This window comes from Homo sapiens, chromosome 2 (assembly GCF_000001405.40).
Source record: "Homo sapiens chromosome 2, GRCh38.p14 Primary Assembly".
Taxonomy (NCBI): Eukaryota; Metazoa; Chordata; class Mammalia; order Primates; family Hominidae; genus Homo; species Homo sapiens.
In genome coordinates, this window is record NC_000002.12 from 109,792,130 (window position 1) to 109,812,755 (window position 20,626).

Sequence of the window (20,626 nt, forward strand, 5' to 3'; positions counted from 1 at the left end):
CCTGCATGGAGTCCAGCCAGGAGACAGTACAGAATGCATGGAGCAGCTATTGGAAGACATTGAAAACTAAATAGTTGCAGGCAGCTTTCCCAAGAAGACCAGAACTTGAAGTACCACCAAACCGGTGGTGAGATAACCATGTTTCCCCTATGGCATCCCGTGACTAACCTGGCAGTGGGCACCAGGGTGCAGATAGAAAGAGCTCCAGAAGATGCCCTCTATTTCTGGCTCAAGTAACGGGAAAAGGGTCTCCTAACATTCCGAGGGAATCCAGAAGTTCGTTCCTCCCCATTTTTCTTTTCCCTGTTCTCTCATACCTCAGCCCACAAGCAGTCCCACAGTGGCACTGGCACCAGCCCCAAGAGGAGCCCAGGAGCCAAGACGCAGGAGGGAACCTTCTCCAACTGACAGAGCTGTGGTCCCAAGAGGGCAGAAACAATCCATGTTGCTTCTCTTCCAATTCAGTCCTCCCACTGCTTGGCTTCAGATGTAGAAATGCATGGTAGAGCCAGATACCGAAAGCCTGTTTTCTGCTTGGAAGACTAAAAAGAGAAGCCTCAGCAAATGAAAGCAACAGGGTAATTGCTGAGAGAGAGTTAATCAGTGAAGCAACCCCATTAACCTGTCTATAAACCCCAGGGCTCATTCTTGAGCTGCTCCTGCATAGATCTCGTCCTGTTCAACACACCAAAGATTGACAGCTGAACTGAGAGACCATCACCCACAGACACAACTGGCCACTGGGTGGTGCACAAGTCAGACAGAACTGAATAGTCCTGTGAAGACTCTGGACACTGAACTGACTTTGGAACCAGACTGCAGAATGGAGGGGTGGGAACTTGTGGCTTGAACCTAATCAGGTAGATTGCCTGGCCAAAATGAAAATACCTATCATCTCCATAGGATTTAATTTCATTCAATGATTTTTTTTTTTTTAGTAAATTTGCAATGTTTTACAGCCTTCCCCAAAATCTAATTCCAAAATATCTCTATCACCCCAACGAGAGACTCCATTCACGTTGGCAGTCACATGCACTCCCAGATTTCCCCTCCACCCAGCCCTTGGCAATCACTAGTCTACTTTCTGTGTCTTTGAGTTTGCCTACTCTGGATATTTCATATAAATGAAATGATATATGAGGTTTTGTGATTGGCACCTTTAATTTAGAATAATGTTTTCAAGGCTGATTCATGTTGTAGTATGCATTGGTACTTCATTATTTTTTATGCAAAAGTAATATTCTATTGTATGGCTATACCACATTTTTCTTTGAGACAGAGATCTCACTATGTCGCCCAGGCTGGAGTTTAGTGGCTCTTCACAGGCCTGATCACAGCTCCTGCATGGATCAAGGAGCATCACTGCAGCTGCAAACTGCAGCTTCAAACTCTCCGGCTCAAGCGACCCTCCTGCCTCAACCTCCCCAGTAGCTGGGCCTACAGGCACGTGTGTCTGTGCCCAATAATACCACATTTTAAAAATCCATCTTCAGTAGATGGAAATTTGGATTGTTTCCACCTTTTACTAATAAAAATAGTACTGCTATAAACATTCATGTATAGGTTTTCTTTTGTTTTTGTTTTTTCTTTTTTGTAGAGATGGGGGTCTCGCTGTGTTGCCCAGGCTGGTCTCAAATTCCTGGACTCAAGTGATCCTCCCATCAAAAACTCCCAAAGTGCTGGGATTACAGGCGTGAGCCACTATGCCTGGCCTGTATACAAGTTTTTGTGTAGACATGTTTACATCCAATTAATGAACACAGGATGTCTTTCCATTGATTTAGCTCCTCTTTAATTTCCTTCAACAGTGTTCTGTAGTTTCCAGTCTACAAGTCTTACACTTTTGGGTTAAATTTATTCATAATTATTTTATTATTTTTGATAATATTATAAATGGAATTGTTTACTTAATTTTACTTGAATTGTTCCTTGCTGGTGTATAAGTAGACATCTCATTTTTTTAGTTGACCTCGTATGGTACAATCTCTTTGAACTCATTTATTATCACTGATAGTTTAGGTCTTTTTTTTTCGAGGTTTCATTAAGGTTTTCTATAGATAAGATCATGTCAAGACACCCTCAGACCACAGGGCGGCGCCACGAGCCCGGCCGAGTGCAGCTGGAGCGCCGACGTCGCCGAGGATACACAGTGCTGAGGCAGAACGCAGGTTCGTCACAGTGGGCCTCCGTGGGCGGCGCCGCACGCTCGTCACAGTGGGCCTCCGCCGGCTACGCCGCTGCTTCAGTGGCTTGCAGGCACTTTCCTCTTGGAAGTGGCGACTGCTGCGGGGCTGAGCGGTGCTCGCACGCGTCTCGGGAGCCAGGTTGGCGGCGCGATGAGGCGCAGCAAGGCCGATGTGGAGCGGTACGTCGCCTCGGTGCTGGGTCTCACCCCGTCGCCTCGACAGGTGAGTGGGTCTCGAAGAGAGCGACGGCGGCCTCGACCCGGCCGGGGGGCGGCGGCGGCGGCGGCGGCGGCGGGGGGGGCGGCGGCGGCGGCCGCCTCGATGGCTCAGGCGTCATGTCTCCCGAGGGGCGCTGCTCCGTGGCGCGCTCTGTTGAGGCGCCGGCCGGCTGGCGCAGTCCTGTGGGCGGCGTGGCGCTTGCAAGCGCAGGAAGAGTCCTGGGGGGACCGCGGCGGGCGGGAGACCGTTGGCGCCGGCGCTTCCTCTTAATCCCGGCTTGTTCCCGACGCTTGTTCCCGACGGTGCTCGCTCCTGGGCCCGTCCTGGCCCGGGCTTTCTGGCCGATCGCGCACCCCGTAGTACCCGCGCGGCCTAGTTCTCGGGGGCTTGGGCACCCGGGTGCTGTATCGGCGGGTTTCTTCCCATCTCCTGGACATTTACTTTATATGCTGCGGCGGAGGTCGTACCTCCTTGGCCTGGAGGAACCCAGTGGGGACTGACGCAGCTCCGGGTGAGCTTTGGCGGCTGCGTCGAGTGACAAGGTAGGCATCTCAGCGCGGACATTTGCAATGGCCCGACGGCGCAAATGACACGGAAAGTCCCCTTGTTTTGAGTATGAGGTGTTTGTCGCTGTCCCTTTGTAAGGGTCCAGCTCCACTCCACTCCTCATACTCACCTCCCTCGCCCCCCTCCCCGCCCGGAACACTTTGGTAGCTGCCTTTGCTTAAAAAAAAAAAATTCTAAAGTTCTTACAAATCGTTAGTATGGCTTGCAATTTTTAACCTTTTCCACAGATGTTTTAAGGGTATTTTTCCTCTTTACATGTAAATAATGCTGAGATTACAGGTGTGAGCCACTCTGCTCAGCCTGATTTTTTTTTTTTTAAACAAGCTTAAAAAAAAAAAAAGCAAGTTTGGAGCCTTTCTGAGATTCTTAGTGGGGACCTTGGCTTCCAAAAGATTAAAAACCACTGGTCTAGACAGAAGTTAGAATGTTCTTTCAACTACATAACTTCTCCATTAAATAAAGTGGAGTGGTGGCAGAATTTTGACGATTGGTTATTATGACACCTCTCTTACATTTAGAGTCTTTTTTTTCCCCCAAATTTAAAGTCATTTACATTAGAACCTGGGGATTTCAGCGGAATATGGATTAACTAGTGAGTAACTGGAACATGTGAAGCTATTCTGTGAAGTTAGGTTTGAGTGAAATGACAAAACAGGGTGCTTTGGATAGAAGGTAAAGAATGGAGGGAGAAGAGGCAGTGGCTGTGAAGAATATGAAGAGGTTAGTATTCTCCCCCAGTTTGGCAGAGGCTGGCCATCTGTGAACTGCCCATGCTTTCTAGAATGTCGGAGTTTTGGAGTGTGATGATGCGTCTGTATATCATATCTTTCTAGTCTTCCATTGCGCTTTCATTTGTTAGTCTCCTCTTGTTTTGCCATTTTTCTACTCCCTCACATGTGCTTTTGCCCTTCTTAAAAATATTCTTCGTCTGTAATCCGAGCATTTTGGGAGGCCGAGAGACCAGCCTGACCAATATGGTGAAAATCCGTCTCTATTAAAAATACAAAAATGAGCCGGGCGTGGTGGCAGCGCCTGTAGTCCCACCTACTCGGTAGGCTGAGACAGGAGAATTGCTTGAACCCTGGAGGCAGAGGTTGTGGTGAGCAGAGATTGCGCCACTGCACTCCAGCCTGTGTGACAGAGCGAGACTCTGTCTCCAAAAAAGAAAAAAAGAAAAAAAATATAATTCTTTCTCTAGTTTTTCTTTTTCCAGATGGCTTCTGTTTAGTTTTTCTATGTTCTGTCAAGTCGGTTTCTTATTCTGCAGCTGATTCCTACTTCTCAAAGTCTACTTGACAGCTCTTATTTTTATTTGTATTTTTTTTAGAATAGGGTCTTGCTGTGTTGCCCATCAAATTTTTGGGCATAAATGATCCTCCTACCTCTGTCTGCTGAGTACTTAGGACTACAGGCAGGCACCTTTGACAGCTGTTAGTTGTTTTTTCTGCCCTTTACATCTATACTTCATACTTCTGAGTAACACACATATATACTTTTGTTATTTTTAATTCCCTTTCTCCCATTTTAGACATTTTCTTTTCTTTTCTTTTCTTTTTTTTTTTGAGACGGAGTCTCGCTCTATCGTCCAGGCTGGAGTGCAGTGTCGCGATCTCGGCTCACTGCAAACTCTGCCTCCGGGGTTCACGCCATTCTCCTGCCCCAGCCTGTAGCTGGGACTACAGGCACCCGCCACAACACTCGGCTAATTTTTTAGCATTTTTAGTAGAGACGGGGTTTCACCGTGTTAGCCAGGATAGTCTCGATCTCCTGACCTCATGATCCGCCCGCCTCAGCCTCCCAAAGTGCTGGGATTACAGGCGTGAGCCACCGCGCCCGGCCCCATTTTAGACATTCTGTACTGGCTATTATGCTCCTCCAAAACTGTCCTCAGACACTTTGGTTTGCCCCTCATTCTTTCAGTACTGTTACTGCAGTTTTTGTTTAAATGAATAGTTAACATTTATATAAATAGAAGGTAAATATTTTTGCATTTGAATTGCCCTTGTTGTGCAGTTTTTTGTTGTTTTTTTTTTATTATACTTTAAGTTTTAGGGTACATGTGCACATTGTGCAGGTTAGTTACATATGTATACATGTGCCATGCTGGTGTGCTGCACCCACGTTTTCCTGGACTGAATAATTGCTTTATTTTTTGGTTTGCTTGTATGTTGTGTTACTACTTGCTTACTTAAACTCAGCAATTTAAACCCTCAAATGTGGTCAAACTGGTCAGATAATCCCATCAATTTCAGCTTAAAACACTGATTGATTGATTGATTGTCTGTCTACCTGGAATACCCTTACTAACCAACTTCTCCAACCCGGATTGGTTTTTCTTCCTCTTTGCTACACAGCTGTGCTCTTGGGACTTCCCTTTATCACCAGTTTGAGAATTCCCTTCATCTTTTTTCTGAGTTAGACCCTTTGTTTCTTGTATCTCATGTCCTCTTCATTTACTTTCTTTGTTTTGGTGTAGCATAGTCTCACTTGCTTTGAGGAAAAGTGGATGAGAGGTTTTTTTGTTTGTTTTTGTTATGGGACAGAGTCTTGCTCTGTTGCCCAGGCTGGAGTGCAGTGGCATGGTCTCAGCTCACCGCAACCTCCGCCTCCCAGGTTCAAGTGATTCTCCTGCCTCAGCCTCCCGAGTAGCGGGATTACAGGTGTGCGCCAGCATGCCCGGCTAATTTTTTCTATTTTTAGTAGAGATGGGATTTCACCATACTGGTCAGGCTGGTCTAGAAACTAATGGTATGTCTTTAAAACATCTTTACTTAATTTAGTTGATCATTTGGTTATCGAATTCTGAGTTTCAAATAATTTTTTTCGCAATTTTGAAAGCATTGCTTCATTTTCTAGAAGTTCTGTTGTTAGGAGTCCCATGAGATTCTTGTTCTTGGTAACTTAAAGGTTTTCTGGAAGTGTCCTTTCAATTGGGAAACTCATTTCTTTCAGTTCTGTAGCATTTCTTGTATTATTTCTTTAACCATTTCTTACCCTTTTTTTTAATGATGTTTACCTGAAAGCTGGAGTTTCTCTAATTTTTCTCTTATTCTCCTCTTTTGTTTGTTCTGCCTTTTGAGAGATTTCCTTACCCTTATGTTCCAGGGGAAGAAGATTGGGGAACTCATGGTTCAGTATCTAGACTTTTCCTCATTGTCCTGTATAATCACGGCCTTCACCCTTGTTGGGACTCCACAGATTTGGAGCTGATCAGATGGGTTTGTTGAGAACAGCAGCTTTTTTGGAGGATTTTAGGGGGAGGGAGATTCATTTGATTGTGCAAGATGGGCGACAGGGTGAGACTCCGTTTGAATTAAAAAAAAAAGAGAGAGAAATTTAGAACTGCATAATGAAAAAGTAGGCCACAAATATTAAGTTTTGGACAATTACAATTACATCTCTATCTTACTGTGCAAGATAGCGATGATGTGGCATCTCTTAGGGTCTTACTGTTCCTGTTTTCAGCCCTGCATCAGTTCTTGATATTTGACAGCTTAAGTGAATTCAGGTATTTGCTTATAGTGACATCTGCTGTCATGTAAAGAAGTACTGCTTGCATCAGATATTGTCCTGTTTACATAACATGGGCTGTGCTCCTTTCTAGCTGTATATCTTTAAACAAGGCATTTGCCTGCTTGAGCTTCAGTTCCCTTGTAAAGTGAGCAGGTTAGAGGCAAAAGATCATATAGAAGAATAATTTGTAAAGTTGTTTAATTATCTTAAGATTGTCTACTTTAATAACATAGTTGGAAGCAAAGAAGGTAATGGAATTATTTTTCTATTATGTTTTAACATAGTTGGAAGCAAAGAAGGTAATGGAATTATTTTTCTATTATGTTTTGGCATTGTACCTTGAATCTATTTCTTCATTTTGAAAAGGGGGAACTGGCGGGCTCGGTGGCTGATGCCTGTAATCCCAGCACTTTGGGAGGCGGAAGAAGTCAGATCACAAGGTCGAGAGATCGACACCATCTTGGCCAACATGGTGAAACCCCATCTCTACTGAAAATACAAAAATTAGCTGGGCATGGTGGCATGCGCCTGTAGTCCCAGCTTGTACCCGGGACGCAGAGGTTGCAGTGAGCTGAGATCGAGCCACCGCACTCCAGCCTGGCGACAGAGCAAGACTCCATCTCAAAAAAAAAAAAAAAAAAGGAAGGGGGGAACAGGCCTTGTTCCTTTATGTGCTGTCCTGACTGTTGTGTATTATTTTTGTTAAGATTGCTATAGTTCTTTTTTTTTTTTGAGACGGAGTCTTGCTCTGTCGCCAGTGCTGGGATTGCAGGTGTTAGCCTGGCATTGAGCAAGGTTTTGTAATTTAAGCATACAAGTCTCTCACCTCCTTGTTTACATTTATTCCCAGGCATTTTTTTCTTTTAGATGCGATTGTAAATGGAATTGCTTTCTTAATTTCATTTTCTGATTGTTCGTTGCTGGTACAGTAGTCCCTTCTTATCCACAGTATTGCCTTACGTGGTTTTACTTACCTGCGTCACCCGTGGTCCAAAAATATTGAATGGAAGATTATATAAATAAACATTTCATGAGTTTTAAATTGCAAACAGGTCTGAATAACATGATAAAAATCTCACGGCCTCCTGCTCCGTCCTACCCAGGACACGAATCATCCCTTTGTCCAACATATTCATGCTGTATGTGCTCCCCACCCGCTAGTTACATACTAGCCATCTCAGTTATCAGATCAGTTGTTGGAGTATTGCAGTGCTTGTGTTCAAGTAACCTTTATTTTATTTAAAATGGCACCAAAGAGCAAGAATAGTGATGCTGGCAGTTCACATATGCCAGAGAGAAGCCATATAGTGCTTCCTTTAAGTGAAGAGGTGAGTTTTTGACTTAGGAAAGAAAAAAGATCATATACTGGGGTTGCTGAGATCTATGGTAAGAACAAATCTTTTGTCCATGAAATTGTGAAGAAGGAAAAAGAAATTTGTGCTAGTTTTGTTGTGACACCCCAAACTGCAAAAGTTACAGCCACAGTGTGTGATAAGTGCTTAGTTGAGATGGACAAGACATTAAATTTGTGGGTGGAGGACACAAACAGGAAGCATGTTTCGATTGATGGCAACCTGGTTTGGTACTATTCATCGTTTTTGGACATTCACTGGGGTCTTGGAATTTCAAAAATAAGATGTTTGAGTAGCTGTATACTCTATCACATGGATGGAACATACTCTGGTTGTATCAGCATTTTTTTTTTTTTTTGAGATGGAATCATTCTGTTGCCCAGGTTGGAGTGCAGTGGTGCGATCTTGGCCCACTGCAGCCTCTGCCTCCCGGGTTCAAGCGATTCTTTGCCTCAGCCTCCCAAGCAGCGGGGATTACAGGCGTGTGCCACCATGCCCAGCTAATTTTTGTATTTTTAGTAGAAAGGAGGTTTCTGTATGTTGGCCAGGCTGGTCTCGAACTCTTGGCTTCAAGTGATCCACCCGCCTCAGTCTCCGAAAGTGCTGGGATTACAGATGTGAGCCACCGCACCCAGCCTGGTGTGCATCAGCATTTTGGACTTTGGAGTTTATGTAACCAAGGATCCAGGCTGTGGACCTCGTTTATTACTTGAAGAATTCAATATTTATTTCTGCCTTTTTGACTCCTTGACTGTAAAATACTGATCTGATCTGTAGAGAGAACAGTACATGGACCCGGGAATCCTCAGTGCCTTAATAGATCCTAAGTACTTACTTATTCTTTCCCATAGAGGCTTACACATGGTAGGAGAAGAGATTTCTGGAATACCTTTCCTCCCCAAAGAAAGCTGGTTTCTTTTGTTTGTTAAGTGAGAGAGTGGTACCACAGGGTTTCCAAGATTTCCAAGGCTGATGAAAATTCTTAACTTCTGTTGTCTGCTTGTCTTGCTTTCTTGAATTTATTTTTTGTATGTTATGTATTTATTATTTAGAGAGAGGATCTCCCTGTGTCACCCAGGCTGGAGTGCAGTGTTACAGTCATAACTCACGGCAGTGTCAACCTCCTGGGCTCAAGTGATTCTCCTTCCTTGGCCTCCTGAGTAGCTAGGAACACAGGCATGCTCCACTATGCCTGGCTATTTTTTTCCCCCTGGAGACAGGATCTTGTTGTGTTGCACAGGCTGGTTTCAAACTCTTGGCCTCAAAGCTAGCCTCCCACCTTGGTCTCTGAAAGTGCTAGAATTAAATAGAATTAAAGGTGTGACCAACTGCACCCAGCTTATTTATGATGATGATGATGATGATGATGATGATGATGATGATGATGTTTGGGAGATGGAGTCTCTGTCGCCCAGGCTGGAGTGCAATGGCACGATCTCAGCTGACTGCAACCTCTGGCTCACTGCAACCTCCACCTCCTGGGTTCAACTGATTTTTGTGCCTTAGCCTCCTGAGTAGCTGGGATTACAGGCACCCGCCATCATGCCTGGCTAATTTTTCTATTTTTGTAGAGACGGGGTTTCACCATGTTAGCCAGGCTGGTCTCAAACTCCTGACCTCAGGTGATCCGCCCACTTCGGCCTCCCAAAGTGCTGGGATTACAGGCATGAGCTGCTGCACCCAGCTCTATTTTTTGTTTTGTGGTAGGAAATTATAAAACATGGAATTATGCATTTGTCAGGCTTTAACTACTTTTGAAAAAATGTTGGAAAATATTTCTGTATGAAACGTAAAACAACTTTTAATTTTTTTTTAGAAGTCAATGAAAGGATTCTATTTTGCAAAGCTGTATTATGAAGCTAAAGAATATGATCTTGCTAAAAAGTAAGTACAAACCGTAACATGTATTCTTTTTTTTAAAATCAATGCCTTTTCTCATTTTCTTCTTTGAAATAGGTAAAAATATGTCCTTAGTAGTTCTTCCTAAGTGTATTCTGGAATAAGGGATTTATCACTCAGACTGATGCTAAGGACCAGCCTAGATTCCATTGAGATTGAAACTGTAATTAGTGTTTTCTGCATGCTGCTGCTTTATACCAAGGGCAAGAAATTGTTTGGCTTAAAACACTTTTTCTAAAAATTGTCTTCTGTTGGAGTAAAAGAGGACCATGCCTATATCTTAATTTGTTTTTGGTTAGATATCTGATACCTTAATCAGATGGAAAATAGCAATGAATAAAAAATTAAACTGTAATTGTAAGGCAGGAGAATAGCTTGTATAAAAGATCTTTAACTGACACAATATGTGATGCTCTAAGGCTCTATCCTAGGGATGAGAAGCTTGGTGATTCTGATTTCCTGGCTGGGAGTGGATTAAAGCAGGAAATTAAGAGGGAGGCAGGCTTTTTTTTTTTTTTTAGGCAGTATCTGTCTCTCTTGCTCCGGCTGGAGTGCAGCAGCTGGCTCCATCTTTGCTCACTGTAACCTCTGCCTTCTGGGCTCAAGCGATCTTCCCACCTCAGCGCCCCAAGTAGCTGGGGATACAGATGCGCACCACCACGTGGACCTGGCTAAGGTTTGCATTTTTTGGTAGAGACAGGTGTCACTATGTTGCCCAGGCTAGTCTTGAACTTCTGAGCACAGCAGTCTGCCTGCCTCGGCCTCCCATAGTGTTGGGACTACAGGTGTGTGTTACTGCTCCCAGCTGGGAGGCAGGCTTTTAAAGGCATCCAAAGGAAGATGGAAATGCTGGTAAGAAAGGAAAATGGTGGTACATAAATTATGTAACTAGCAGCACTGTGACTGTTAACTCTTGTACCTTTTTACTGTGAGACTTTAATCCCTTAGTTTAGGTCTGGCCTAATTTCTCTGATCGTAATACTGTCAAGGAACCTAGAGGATATTTACTTATTTTAGTTGTTACTTGATTTGAGAAATGGAAATTTCCTGTATTTGGTACTGTAATTAGTAATTTTTCTTCTGTTCGATTTTAGCTGGATATAGTACTGTTAGAAATTACTTTCTTGCTTAAAGGGTAAATGTATTTCCCTTTGTTGTTTGGGAAATTGTTGCTGTTTAGTATTTTGCATTATGATAACTTTAAAAATGTTTATTATAATCACTTCTAATTTATTGGCAAAACTGTTAGTGCTTTATTAAAATGTGATCAGGAAGAAAAAGCAATCTATATGTTCATTTCTTATGTGTGGTTAACACTGGAGAAAAATTTGGTAAATGTGACATTTAATGGTAAAATGAGTATGTGGTCAACTCTATGTACGTGTTTTTAAGTATTACCCATTTCTTTCTATGAATACTTTTGAGTTATCTGCATAAATAGTGGTAGTTTTGAGTAACAATATAAACGAGTTTAGTGGTTGCTTTGGTTTAAGATGTATTCTTCGGTTAGCATTTAAAAGTACAGTTCTAAGTTTAATTTACTTTTGTATTACTTTTAAAAAACAGATACATATGTACTTACATTAATGTGCAAGAGAGGGATCCCAAAGCTCACAGATTTCTGGGTCTTCTTTATGAATTGGAAGAAAACACAGAGAAAGCCGTTGAATGTTACAGGGTAAGTTATAAGATTCAAATATAGCCTTTGCGTAGCCAAACACATGATGCCCAGAGAAATTTATATAAGTAAGTCAAATATATTTTATGAATATCATAAAACAGGCATTGGTATCATAGTACAATTATGTGATACAGCTTGGAACAGATTTAGAATTGTTTAACACCTATAAATTGTAAGTCTAACACGGTCAGAAATGGTGTTCTTTTGTGTTTTTTGCATTCAAATGACACAAATATAATTTTTATTTGATTCATTTCTAGAAAATTCCAAGACACTTTTATTTTAACACCTTTAAAGTAACATGTTTTCTCTAGAAGTAGAATTTTTTAAGGGTTGGAGTGATAATTTTTAACCTTTATGTATAAGTATATATACTCCTACATACATACATACAATTTATTTACTAATCTTTAATTTCTTTTCTGATATTAGCGTTCAGTGGAATTAAACCCAACACAAAAAGATCTTGTGTTGAAGATTGCAGAATTGCTTTGTAAAAATGATGTTACTGATGGAAGAGCAAAATACTGGGTCGAAAGAGCAGCAAAACTTTTCCCAGGAAGTCCTGCAATTTATAAACTAAAGGTAAACAAACAAAACATAAAGGGAGAAAACTTAAGACATAACCATTTCTAATATTTGGAGTTTAAATTACTTTTCAATAGCAAACCTTAAGCTCAGGTGTTTGTGTTTCCTTTAACATTTTTCTTTTAAAAAGTGTATTAAAACCTTTCTGAGCATCTACTGTCTTATTAGGCATTGTTATACTTTATAAGTGACATCTCATTTACCCTTCTGGAATAATTAATATTTTAGGGATTTTACAGTTTAGTAGCTGTAAACTAAGTAGAGCTAAGATTTACATTAAGTTCTGTCTGATATACAATTTTTGCTTCATTAAGTGAAAATTACCTACAGGATGACAATTTAGGGATATTTTAAAGAAGAGTTTTCTGATAACTATTGTCTGAAAGTAGAAGGGATTGTATTTTGAGATAGTAAGGTTTTCAAGCAAAAGATAAAAGGTGGTTTCTGTAGTATATAAGACGTAATTACTAAAAATGGTAGGAAGTTCTTGCTAGTGTGTTGACTGGTCCTGATATTCTTTATAGAGTAAAATATAGTTTACTAAGTAACTGTTCTGGAGAAATCTACACAAATATGTTTGGCAAACATTTAAAATGTATATTGTAATGTTTTATATATTAATGTATACTTTATTGTGTGTGTACAATATAAAATTATAAATGTATATTTGCCTTTAGCTTCCTCCTACCCCCATCATATATGTTTCTGATAGAAATTTAAAAAATTTTAATTTTGAAATAATTATAGATTTTTTTGCACAGGAAGTTGCAAAGTTTGCACAGAAAGATCCTATATGCTACTTCATTTTTCCCCAATGCTTATACAGGTTGAGCATTTAAAATCCGAAATCCTAAATGCTCCAAAATCTGAAATTTTTTGAGCACTGACATGATGCTCAAAGAAATGCTCATTGGAAAATTTTGGATTTCAGATTTTCAGATTTGGGATGCTCTATCTGCTAAGTATCCTGCAAATATTCTAAAGTCTGAAAAAGTTCAAAATCTGAAATACTTCTGGTCTCAAGCATTTTGGATAAGGGATACTCAACCTGTTTAACCTGACCAAAGCACAGTATCAAAATCAGGAATTTTGACATTGGTACAATGTGTATGTATAGTTTTCTTTCATTTTATCACGTGTAGATTCATACCACCACTGCCGTCAAGATACAGAACTACTCTGTTACCACAGAGATCTTCCTCATGCTGCCCCTTTTGTAGTCATGCTATTTACTTCTCTTCACTATGCCTGACCTCTGGCAACCATTAATCTGTTCTCCATCTTTATACTTTGGTGATTTCAAAATGTTATGTAAATGTCATCATGAAATGTGTGACTTTTTTTTTCTTTTTTCATTGTTTTTGAGACGGAGTCTCGCTCTGTTGCCCAGGTTGGAGTTCACTGGCGCAATCTCGGCTCACTGCCACCTCCGCCTCCCAGGTTCAAGCGATTCTCCTGCCTCGGCCTTCCGGGTAGCTGGGACTACAGGCACATGTTACCATGTCCCGCTTATTTTTGTATTTTTAGTAGAAACTGGCTGGTCTCGAACTCCTGACCTCCTGTGATCTGCCCACCCCAGCCTCCCAAAGTGCTAGGATTACAGGCGTGAGCCACCGCGGCCAGCCAAGCATGTGACCTTTTGAGGTTGGCTTGTTCAGTCAGCATAATACCATTTGTGATCCATATTAAGTTTTGTATATCCATAGTTGGTTCCTTTACTTCTGAGTAGTATTTCATGGTCCACAATTTAACCATTCACTTTTTTTTTTTTTTTTTTTTTTTTGAGACAGAGTCTTGCTCTGTTGCCCATGCTGGAGTGCAGTGGTGCTACCTCGGCTCACTGCAACTTCTGCCTCCCGGGTTCTCAGGTGATCCACCCACTTTGGCCTCCCAAAGTGCTGGGATTACAGGTGTGAGCCACTGTGCCCAGCCTTAACCATTCACTTTTGAGGGGCATTTTGGTTATTTCTAGGTTTTGGCTATTGTTCAACTGCTATGAACAATCATGTACAGATTTTTGAAGCTGAAAAAGCATTGAAGATGCTTCCAAAGATAAATATTACTGATAAGTTTTTCTCCCCAGTAATAAGCAGCTGGATTTTAAATGTTAGTCTAAAGCGTGAGGTCTAATTGTGCAGATTTCTTTACTCTCTTAGGTGTTATGCCTCAAACATAACTCCCATATTGGGCGTGGCAATCCAGTTAATCTGGTGTCAGTAGTGTTAAAGAACATATGTAATGGCAGGAGATTCTTTTCTTGCAGTGTAACAAGTTAGATACTTTGAAGCACTCTTTAAAGATTTTCTTTAATAACTTGAAGGCACTGTTACACCTTTCCTGTATCAGATTTTTTTTTTTTTGGAATTGAAATCCATGAGATTTATAACTGTCATGCAAAGTAATTCCATTTCTCCTAAAATTTAAGGCTTGCTAAGGTAAACAGTTTCTGACATTTGTTTAATGAATGAGAGTATTACTGTTGAGAAGGCTTTTTCTCTCAAGTATGAGATAGAACTTTTTAAAAGCACTCATAGTGGTTTTTAAAAAAATGTTTAACATAGAGTCAAAGACTAGGGCTTTTGCAATAGGGAGAGGCCAGGGTTTCATCCATCTCATCCAGAAGAGGAGAAATTGATAAAGGAGAGAGGGGAATGAAATACAGAGTACTAATGGGCGGCTTGGTCTTGAGAGTTGGGGAAAGACGAGTTTAAGTAGGTAAGGTAAAATGGAATTTATATGTGATAGCATCAGGTTTCTCAGTGAAGGATGAATCTAGGTTATAAGTTGAAAGTGAGGGTCAAAGGAAGGTATGGGGAAGTTGAGGAAATAGGAGGAGGTGTGAAGTGTCAGGGAGTGGAGAAAGTGAGTCTGTTAGTACTAAAATGGTATTTTGTTTTAGGCAGCACCAGTTTGATGGTTGAGATAATGCAAATGAAATCAGTTAGCTTGGGGTTATGATTTCCCAAATCTAAGCACACAGAAACCAGTTGGGAGGGTTCTTCTGAGGAAAAGAGGGAATTAGTTGAAGGGATCTGTAAGCAAACAGTAATTATGGATATAAGGGATTATAGCATTTTTTGCCTGACAGAAGAAAGTGTGTGTATTTATATGTGTTTACAGGTGTTTAAAACTTGATGATGTTATTGTCTTGAAGGGAACTTGTCATATGGTGGAGAAGTATATTTCTGAAAGTAAGGGTATGTAGGCCCTCAGTGAGGTGGAAGAATAAGAAGGGTGGTATGGTGGTTTCGGTGGTATGACCAAAATGCAGATTTTGAAGACCTGTGTCAGTGGCAAGTGGATGGTTGAGGTTGGAGTAGAGGATAACATCACTGGAGATGAGGTGATTAAGGAACTGAGTAGTCAGCCTGGGCAACACGGCAAGACCCCATCTCTACAGAACGTTAAAAAAAAATTAGCCGGGCATGGTGGTGCATGCCTATGGTCCTAGCTTCTTGAGAGGCTGATGGAAGAGCATCGCAAATGAGAAGCGAGTGGCCACAAACCCTACTTCCTCTCCTCGTATGTAAGTTCAGAGAGAAAAAGCCATCATGGTAGTGGGGGTTATCCTGAGATGATACTGTCTTCATTTAAGGTCAGGAGGTGATGACAGTGCTTTGAGATGATGATAAAGGTAACAGAACAGTGGGAGGAGAGGGGATGCAGGATTGAATCAGATTTAAGGAGATACAGAGCAGTTTGAACATAAGGACCTTGTTGCTGAGGATTGACTGGGGAGGTCTAGGCTTCTGGTGGTGACTCAGATGGACAGGAATGTGTGGCATTAGTCCTGGTAGTCTCTGAAGAGAGTATGAGCTACTGCAGTAATCACAGATGCTTTTCTTCACATACAGTTCTTGAGGCTTAGTTTCTGGGTTGTAAGCAACTCTCAGAAGGGACGAATAAGGTATTTAGGATGGTGTTTTTGGTGGCATCATCATAAAACTAGACATAGTGGAATGGTGCTTTTTGGGAGCATGACTTGTTTAAAGTTGCACAAGTGTTACTCTAATAATTTTTCTTTTTCCTCTCTAAATAGGAACAGCTTCTAGATTGTGAAGGTGAAGATGGATGGAATAAACTTTTTGACTTGATTCAGTCAGAACTTTATGTAAGACCTGATGACGTCCATGTGAACATCCGGCTAGTGGAGTTGTATCGCTCAACTAAAAGATTGAAGGATGCTGTGGCCCACTGCCATGAGGCAGAGAGGAACATAGCTTTGCGTTCAAGTTTAGAGTGGAATTCGTGTGTTGTACAGACCCTTAAGGTAGATAAAAGCTATTGAGTCTTTACATTTCTATGTAGGCAATTAGCATACATCTTTTTGTACTAAAGCAGCAGTGCCCCGCAGGACTTAAATTTCTTTTATTTATGTAGAACAGTTATAAAATGAAATTTTTACCAGGATCAGTTAAATTTATAATGGGAAGATTGGGGAGATAACTATGATAAATGTATATATTTTTGGTGTTTTCATTTATAAGGTTGATGTAAAAATCAATGTAGTTTCACAAATGTGGTTGGAGTGAGAAAAGGAATTTGTAGGCATAAAATGGTTAATTACTTAACACTTGATTAAGTTTTGTAACTTACTATTCATTCCACAAAATAGGAATATCTGGAGTCTTTACAGTGTTTGGAGTCTGATAAAAGTGACTGGCAAGCAACCAATACAGACTTACTGCTGGCCTATGCTAATCTTATGCTTCTTACGCTTTCCACTAGAGATGTGCAGGAAAATAGAGAATTACTGGAAAGGTGCGTAGACTTTGAGGAGAATGCTTTAGTACAAATTGCAGTTTTTCTTTTTGCAGTAAGTTCATTGCTCTAAATTTCTTCACTGAATCATTATTTCTATAATGTACCTAGGAGTTATAGTTAATACAGTGAACCACTAGGAGGCAATCTTATTTTTCTTCTTTTACAGGGAAGTTCTAATTGGTTTTATATGACTTTCCTTTTTAGAGAACTCTTATAGTTCAAGCTTGATTAAAATTAGCCTTATGGTTACTCAGTTTTGTCATAGTCAAGCTTAAAATGAATGTTCTAACTGCTATTTCATATTTTATTTTTTTATAATAGTATAATCTTTAGTGAAAATTAAAGTTCATCTGTCATCAGATGGCTAGGTTCACATGTACTAGTATAAGCACTTAGCATCACTGGTATTTCAGAAAATACTGTTTTAGCTAAGAAACAAAATAACTCAACTATGTGATTTACCTTTTTTCCTAAATTTTGATTTTGAAAACCAGTGTCTCCATTTTGAAAATAAATTCCATTGAACAAAAACATCACTTGGATTTGTATAAAGATGTTAGTTTAGAGCAGGGGTTGATTAGAACTTGTGGGCCAAATATGGCCCCTGCCTAATTTTGTTAATATTTATTGGAATGCAGCTTGCCTCTGTTTATGTATTGTCTGTGGCTGCTTACATACTACAGGGTTGGAGTTGAGTGGTTGCAGCAGAGATTGTATGCCTGTAAAGCCAGATTAGTAATCTCCTCCTTTTGTAGAAAAAGTTTACTGATTGCTAATTTAGGCTGTCCATTTGTTTGGAAGTTAATTTATTTCCCCATCTGGTATAAGGAAAGAAGTTCATTTCACTGAGTGCAGGGAGTAGGTAATTTTCTTGAAAAAGTACATAGTGTCCTAAATTGGTAGGGTAAGAGCAGTACCTAAAAGAACTAACATAACTTTATTTTAGAAAACATGTAGGATGTTTTATTTTGTGTTCTTTGTATACTCAAATTTTTTGGTCACAAGTTCCTTTTACATTTTTCTTAAGGACATCAAAGATCTTTGTATGTGGGTTCCTTTTTTTCTTTCTTTCTTTTTTTTTTTTTTTTTTTTTTTGAGATGGAGTCTTGCTCTGTCACCAGGCTGGAGTGCAGTGGCACGACCTTGGCTCACTGTAACCTCCGCCTCCCGGGTTCAGGCGATTCTCCTGCCTCAGCCTCCCAAGTAGCTGGGACCACGGGCACACACCACTACGCCCAGCTAATTTTTGTATTTTTAGTAGAGACGGGGTTCAGGATGGTCTCAATCTCTCTTTTTTTTTTTTGAGACTGAGTCTTGCTCTCGCCAGGTTGGCATGCAGTGGTGCAGTCTCGGCTCACTGCAACCTCTGCCTCCTGGGTTCAAGTGATTCTCTTGTCTCTGCCTCCTGAATAGGTGGGACTACATGTGCCCGACACCACACCTGGCTAATTTTTTTTTTTTTTTTTTGAGACAGAGTCTTGCTCTGTCACCCAGCCTGGAGTACAGTGGCACAATCTCGGCTCACTGCAAGCTTCACAATTTCCTCTCAATGCTCTGAATAAGAGCTTATCCTCCTGCCTCAGGTTGTTCCCCACCAGGAAGCCCCAGGAGGGCCCTGAGGACAGCCCTTGGCCCTCAGAGGGGGAGGCTCAGGAGGGGAAATGACCATGGGGATGGAGTCACTCAGGGGAGAATCTGGACCATGATGGGGTGACTTGGGGGCCTGAGGGGAGGACCCTGAGGAAGATAAAAAGCTGGTGCCACCCTAGGCAGTTTCACAGTGTGGCTTAGGGCTGTGGGTGACAGATGGTTTGTCAGATCAGTTAATCAGGCCTCATGGGCCCTTTGTTACCCGCCTTGTGAACCTCCCAGGTTCACGCCATTCTTCTGCCTCAGCCTCCTGAGTAGCTGGGACTACCTACAGGCGCCCACCACCACGCTCGGCTAATTTTTTTTGTATTTTTAGTAGAGACGGAGTGTCACCGTGTTAGCCAGGATGGTCTCGATCTCCTGACCTCGTGATCTGCCCTCCTCGGCCTCCCGAAGTGTTGGGATTACAGGCGTGAGCCACCGCGCCCAGCCCACACCTGGCTAGTTTTTGTATTTTTAGTAGAAACAGGGTTTCATCATGTTGGCCAGGATGGTCTCGATCTTTTTTTTTTTTTGAGATGGAGTCTCGCTCTGTTGCCCAGGCTGGAGTGCAGTGGCGCCATCTCGGCTCACTGCAAGCTCTGTCTCCAGGGTTCATGCCATTCTCCTGCCTCAGCCTCCCGAGTAGCTGGGCCTACAGGTGCCCGCCACCACACCCAGCTAATTTTTTGTATTTTTAGTAGAGATGGGGTTTCACCGTGTTAGCCAGGATGGTCTTGATATCCTGACCTTGTGATCCGCCTGCCTCAGCCTCCCAAAGTGCTGGGATTACAGGCATGAGCCACCACGCCCGGCTGGTCTCGGTCTCTTGACCTCTTGATCCGTCTACCTTGGCCTCCCAAAGTACTGGAAGGTCTCAATCTCTTGACCTCGTGATCCGCCTGCCTTGGCCTTCCAAAGTGCTGGGATTGCAGGTCTGAGCCACTGCATCCGGCCGTATGTGGGTTATTTCTGTCAGTGTTTATTACATTAGAAATTAAAACAAAAAATGTAATCCATTAAAAATGTAATAAGCCCTATTGTGTGTTAATAATAATAGCTTTTTTTTTTTTTTTTTTGAGACGGAGTTTTGCTCTTGTTGCCCAGGCTAGAGTGCAACAGTGTGATCTCGGATCACTGCAACCTCTGCTTCCCAGGTTCAAGCGATTCTCCTGCCTCAGCCTCCCAAGTAGCTGGAATTACAGGTGCCCACCACCACGCCTGGCTAATTTTTTGTATTTTTAGTAGAGATGGGGTTTCACCATGTTGGCTAGGCTGGTCTTGAACTCCTGACCTCAGGTGATCCACCCGCCTCGGCCTCCCAAAGTGCTGGAATTACATGTGTGAGCCACCGCGCAGGGCCAATAATAGCATTTTTTATGAAAAATAACTATTTCCCAACAGCAAAAAAGTAGTCAGAAAAGTGTCATTGTTTTTGCATTTTTGTAAATCTTTTTAATGTCTCGCTTAATAGAACATAGCTAGATTCTCATTTACTTCCTCTTTCAGTCTGTAAAACTATTACATGTCATGAAGCCTCTAGAAAACTCAGCTCAGCGGGGCGCGGTGGCTCAGGCCTGTAATCCCAGCACTTTGGGAGGCCGAGGCGGGTGGATCACGAAGTCAGGAGATCGAGACCATCCCAGCTAACAATGGTGAAACCTTGTCTCTACTAAAAATACAAAAAATTAGCCGGGCATGTTGGTACACGCCTATAGTCCCAGCTGCTCGGGAGGCTGAGGCAGAAGAATCGCTTGAACCTGGGAGTCAGAGGTTGCAGTAAGCCAAGATTGTGCCACTGCACTCCAGCCTTGTGACAGAGTGAGATTCTGTCTCCAAAAACAAAAACAAAAAAAGTCAGCTCTACATACATGAGAAAATGAGTATGTAATATATAAATTTTTTTTGGTATTATTGTAAAAGTAATTTTAACTTCATGGATCCCCTGAAGGGGTTTTTGAGCACCCTCAGAGATCTTTAGACCTCACTTGCTCTGGTTGCTTTATTGTAAGCCACTTTAAAATCATGCTTCACGTTTAAGTGTTTGCTTTTTGCTTTTACTTTTCTTCCAAAGTGAGGATTTGGAGAAACATTAGGATTTAGAAGAACTAATTTAGAATATAGATTACAAATAGTAGGCCAGACATAGTGGCTCATGCCTGTAATCCCAGCACATTGGTAAACTGAGGCGGGCGGATCGTGAGGTCAGGAGTTCGAGACCAGCCTGG

The 20,626-nt window shown here is 41.6% G+C and overlaps 2 protein-coding genes across 6 annotated transcripts in view; both read left to right on the plus strand.

Moving 5' to 3' along the window:
• The window catches only part of RANBP2 (RAN binding protein 2), a 1,122,820-nt gene that overhangs the window by 1,072,648 nt on the left and 29,546 nt on the right, over positions 1–20,626 (plus strand). The window lies entirely within an intron of this gene.
• RGPD5 (RANBP2 like and GRIP domain containing 5) overlaps positions 1–20,626 on the plus strand; it is a 97,088-nt gene that overhangs the window by 31,512 nt on the left and 44,950 nt on the right. For 3 of the 5 annotated variants that reach the window (XM_006712794.5, XM_047445980.1, XM_017005081.3), the window contains exons 2-6: positions 9,654–9,721; positions 11,303–11,414; positions 11,850–12,002; positions 16,045–16,275; positions 16,621–16,766. In XM_006712794.5, coding sequence (XP_006712857.2) covers positions 9,654–9,721; positions 11,303–11,414; positions 11,850–12,002; positions 16,045–16,275; positions 16,621–16,766 — 710 coding nt within the window. Of the gene's footprint in view, positions 1–628; positions 861–2,035; positions 2,409–9,653; positions 9,722–11,302; positions 11,415–11,849; positions 12,003–16,044; positions 16,276–16,620; positions 16,767–20,626 lie in introns of those variants that run through there. The other 2 variants (NM_032260.3, NM_005054.3) reach the window with 2 other exon arrangements.